This window comes from Homo sapiens, chromosome X, assembly GCF_000001405.40.
Source record: "Homo sapiens chromosome X, GRCh38.p14 Primary Assembly".
Taxonomy (NCBI): Eukaryota; Metazoa; Chordata; class Mammalia; order Primates; family Hominidae; genus Homo; species Homo sapiens.
The window spans coordinates 60,241,075-60,243,869 of record NC_000023.11 but is presented as its reverse complement, the minus strand read 5'-3'; the positions used below and the strand labels follow the sequence as shown (position 1 = coordinate 60,243,869).

The following is a 2,795-nucleotide window of genomic DNA, read 5'->3' as shown; positions in this document are numbered from 1 at the left end:
ATGAAGAACTTTCTCAGAGTGTTTGTGTTTAGTTATGGGAAATTATTCCCGTTCCCAACGAAATCCTCAGAGAGGTCCAAATGTCCACCTGCAGATTCTACCAAAAGTGTATTTGGAAACTGCTCCATCAACAGGCATGTTCAGCTCTGTGAGTGAAACTCCATCATCACAAAGAATATTCTGAGAATGCTTCCGTTTGCCTTTTATATGAAGTTCCTTCCTATACGACCGTAGGCCTCAAAGCAGTGCAAATCTCCATTTGCAGATTCTACAAAAAGAGTGATTCCAATCTGCTCTATCAATAGGATTGTTCAACTCCATGAGTTGAATGCCATCCTCACAAAGTCGTTTCTGAGAATGCTTCTATCTAGTTTTTATGTGAAGATATTTCCTTTTCCACCACAGGCCTCAAAGCCCTCCAAACGTCCACTTGTAGATTCTCGAAAAAGAGTGTTTCATAGCTGCTCTTTCAAAAGGAAAGTTCAACTCTGGGAGTTGAATACAAACATCACAAAGTAGTTTCCGAGAATGCTTCTGTTTAGTTTTTATGTGAAGATGATCCCGTTTCCAGTGAAATCTTCAAAGAGGTCCACATATCCCCTTGCAGATTCCAAAGAAAGAGGGTTTCAAAACTGCTCCATCAAAAGGATTGTTCAACTCTGTGAGTTGAATGCAGTCATCGCAGAAAACTTTCTGAGAATGCTTCTGTCTAGGTTTGATGTGAAGATATAGACGTTTCAAACGAAGGCTACAAAGTGGTCAAAATATACACTTGCAGATACTACTACAAGGGTGTTGCAAACCTGAACTATCAAAGGAAGGTTCAACTCTGTGAGTTGAATACAAACATCACAAAGAATGTTCTGAGTTTGCTTCCGTTCAGTTATGGGAAGTTGATCCCGTTTCCAACGAAATCCTCAGAGAGGTCCAAATATCCCCTTGCAGATTCTACAAAACGTGTGTTTGGAAACTGCTCCATCATAACGAATGTTCAGCTCCCTGAGTTAAACTCCATCGTCACAAAGAATTTTCTGAGAGTGCTACCGTCTGGTTTTTATATGAAGTTCTTTCCTTCACTACCACAGGCCTCAAAGCGGTCCAAATCTCCACTTGCAGATTCTACAAAAAGAGTGTTTGCAAACTGCTCTATCAAAAGGAATGTTCAACTCTGGGAGTTGAATGCAATCATCACAGAGCAGTTTCTGAGAATGCTTCTATGTCGTTTTTAGGAGAAGATATTTCCTTTTCCAACACAGTCCTCCAAGCCCGCTAAATAGCCACTTGCACATTGTAGAAAAAGTGTGTCAAAGCTGCGCTATCAAAGGGAAAGTTCAACTCTGTGAGGTGAATGCAAACATCCCAAAGAAGTTTCTGAGAATGCTTCCGTTTAGCTTTTAGGTGAAGATTATCCCGTTTCCAACGAAACCTTCAAAGAGGTCCAAATATCCCCTTGCGGATCCCACAGAAAGAGTGTTTCGAAACTGCTGTTTCAAAAGGAATCTTCAACTCTGTGAGTTGAATGCAATCATCACAAAGAAGTTTCTGACAATGCTTCTCTCTCGTCTTTCTGTGAAGATAAAGGAAAAGGCTTTCAGGCCTTTGCCACCACAGGCCTGAAAGCGCTCCAAGTGTCCACTTGCAGATTCTGCGAAAAGAATATTTCAAAACTGCTCTATGAAAAGCAATGTTAAACTCTGTGGCTCGAACACAAACATCACAAAGAGGTTTCTGAGAATGCTTCAGTTTAGTTTTTCTGTGGAAATATTCCCGTTTCCAAAGAAATCTTCAAAGAGGTCCACGTATCCACTTACAGATTCTACAAAAAGACAGTTTCAAAACTGCTCCATCAAAAGGAGGGTTCAACTGTGTGACTTGAATGCAATCATCACTCAGAAGTTTCTGAGAATGCTTCTCTTTAGTTTTTACGTGAACATATACCCGTTTCGAACGAAGGCCACCCAGTGGTCCAAATATCCACTTGCAGATTCTACAGAAAGAGTGTTTCGAACCTGAACTCTCAAAGGCAGGTTCATCTCTGCGAGTTAAATGCATTCATCATGAAGAACTTTCTCAGAGTGTTTGTGTTTAGTTATGGGAAATTATTCCCGTTTCCAACGAAATCCTCAGAGAGGTCCAAATATCCACCTTCAGATTCTACCAAAAGTGTATTTGGAAACTGCTCCATCAAAAGGCATGTTCAGCTCTGTGAGTGAAACTCCATCATCACAAAGAATATTCTGAGAATGCTTCCGTTTGCCTTTTATATGAAGTTCCTTCCTATACTACCGTAGGCCTCAAAGCAGTCCAAATCTCCATTTGCAGATTCTACAAAAAGAGTGATTCCAATCTGCTCTATCAATAGGATTGTTCAACTCCATGAGTCGAATGCCATCCTCATAAAGTAGTTTCTGAGAATGCTTCTATCTAGTTTTTATGTGAAGATATTTCCTTTTCCACCACAGGCCTCAAAGCCCTCCAAACGTCCACTTGCAGATTCTCGAAAAAGAGTGTTTCATAGCTGCTCTTTCAAAAGGAAAGTTCAACTCTGGGAGGTGAATACAAACATCACAAAGTAGTTTCCGAGAATGCTTCTGTTTAGTTCTTATGTGAAGATGATCCCGTTTCCAGTGAAATCTTCAAAGAGGTCCACATATCCCCTTGCAGATTCCAAAGAAAGAGGGTTTCAAAACTGCTCCATCAAAAGGATTGTTCAACTCTGTGAGTTGAATGCAGTCATCGCAGAAAACTTTCTGAGAATGCTTCTGTCTGGGTTTGATGTGAAGATATAGACGTTT

The 2,795-nt window shown here is 40.5% G+C and overlaps 1 annotated feature.

Moving 5' to 3' along the window:
- Positions 1–2,795: part of a centromere (Linear centromere model derived predominantly from reads generated in PMID: 17803354. This region does not represent an actual centromere sequence, as long-range ordering of repeats and unmapped WGS contigs is not provided by the model. For details of model production, see http://arxiv.org/abs/1307.0035.) that runs on past both edges of the window.